The 1,620-nt window shown below is 44.1% G+C and overlaps 1 annotated feature.

Annotated features, from left to right (window-relative positions):
- Positions 1,001–1,620: an enhancer, noted in NCBI's record as "NANOG hESC enhancer chr7:31411185-31411804 (GRCh37/hg19 assembly coordinates)". NCBI's record gives its function as "activates a minimal SCP1, AML or CMV promoter by ChIP-STARR-seq in naive H9 embryonic stem cells {active_cell/tissue: H9 hESC(naive)}" and the evidence as "EXISTENCE:reporter gene assay evidence [ECO:0000049][PMID:30033119]".

The raw sequence follows: 1,620 nt of genomic DNA, 5'->3' as shown, positions 1-1,620 counted from the left end.
CAAGGGGCAGGGAACAGGTCTACATCAAAACAGCGTTCAGACAATAGGGCATTAGCTGAGGACCAAACTGCCTTGTGTTGGGGCATCCTCCCACCAGGGTGGGCACAGAAACCCACAGGCCTCCCAGAGTGCAGTGCATTTGCAGAAACTCTGCTCCTTTCAGAAACCTTTGCAGCCCACAAGCATTCATTCAAGAGATGTTTGATGGGTGTCTTTGTCTTCGACATGCTCACACCTTTCAGCCCCCACGATGTCAACCATATGCTCCTAATGAGCAACCCGTGTTTATTATAACAGGGTCTCTTTATCGTGCATGCCCTGTAGCCAACTGTGTCACACTCTCTTCTAAGAAGCTTGGGTATGTGGAGTCATTGTTCTGGGCAGGCTGGATCAAGAGCTACCGGAGGTTGTGCAGTGTCGAGGAAACAGATGGAACAGATGGGGACGCTGTGGCAGAGCACAAACCCAAGAGAAGAGCCAACGGGTGCTGGACCAGCCGCACAGGGTGTAGGAGTGAGAAGGAGGCAGAATTTGGCTTTACTCATCTTTTTTCCCAGCTGGTGAATCCACCTTCTTCTCCTTTACCTGCTTCCTACCTAAGGTATAATTCATGTGTTAGAAGTCCAGGCTCCCCTAAATGCAGGGCAATCCCCCAATTCCTCCTCCTCTAGGACCGCCTGCTTAGAAGAAAGACAGCTTACAGACGTATAACTTGGGGGAAGCATAAAACAAAATAAGCTAAGTACAAAGGGCAGATATGAAACAGATTTTTTTCAAGGCTCCAACTGTGGTAGATATTATAAGCAGAACAGATTTCATATGGAAGACATTGACAAGGAATAAACATAGCACCCAAAGCTAGCGTTTTCAAGGATTTGCTTCTTTGAACATAAGGGCTTTTTAAAAAATCACATTTTTATCAAACAATGAGCAGCAAAATCTCTCCCCCAAAATGGCAAAGGCAGATCAAACCTAGGTATGGGTTACCTGTATTTGCAGGAACTGTTTCAAAAATCCCATTTCAATTTGCTATGAAAGCATGCGTTGCCCTGGCTTTCTAATCTATGTTGAAAGCTCAAAGGTTAAAGAGACTTGGCTGAATTTGTCTTAAGATATAGCCTTTGTTCTGATTCAATCATTTATTTGAATTTAATATTTTAAAGGACACTTCAAACAGACTTCACAATGCACTGTTACCATCCGGGCCATATTTATTGTTTAATATTTAACTGGGGAGATTTGTCAAAACCCTTAAGAATTAATGGTTGCAAACTTGTGGAGTTAAAAGGCTTGTGGAGGAAACCATTTGCTAACAACAGGGAGACAATGGCCCTGCAGGCTGGGCCACCAGAAGGCAAATACACATTTGGGGGTCTAGTGGCCTGGTGAGCCCAGCTACCCAGACAGCAGGAAGTGCAATTGCCTTTAAATAAATATTCTAATGTGTTTAACTTCTGAACTATAAAGCTCAGCTTGCGCCTTAAGAAGAGAGGTGAAGGTGAGAGCAAAACAAACTGTTATTCCATGCCTTCTACAAACACACACAAGAGAGTCCCAGGGCTCAGAAATGAACCAACTGCATTGAAATGCACCTCTGACTAAACGATCTTAAGACCTGGA

The sequence above is a fragment of the Homo sapiens genome, chromosome 7 (genome assembly GCF_000001405.40).
Source record: "Homo sapiens chromosome 7, GRCh38.p14 Primary Assembly".
In the NCBI taxonomy this organism is placed as follows: Eukaryota; Metazoa; Chordata; class Mammalia; order Primates; family Hominidae; genus Homo; species Homo sapiens.
Note: the sequence above shows the minus strand (reverse complement) of the source record. Positions and strands in the feature narration are given on the sequence as shown.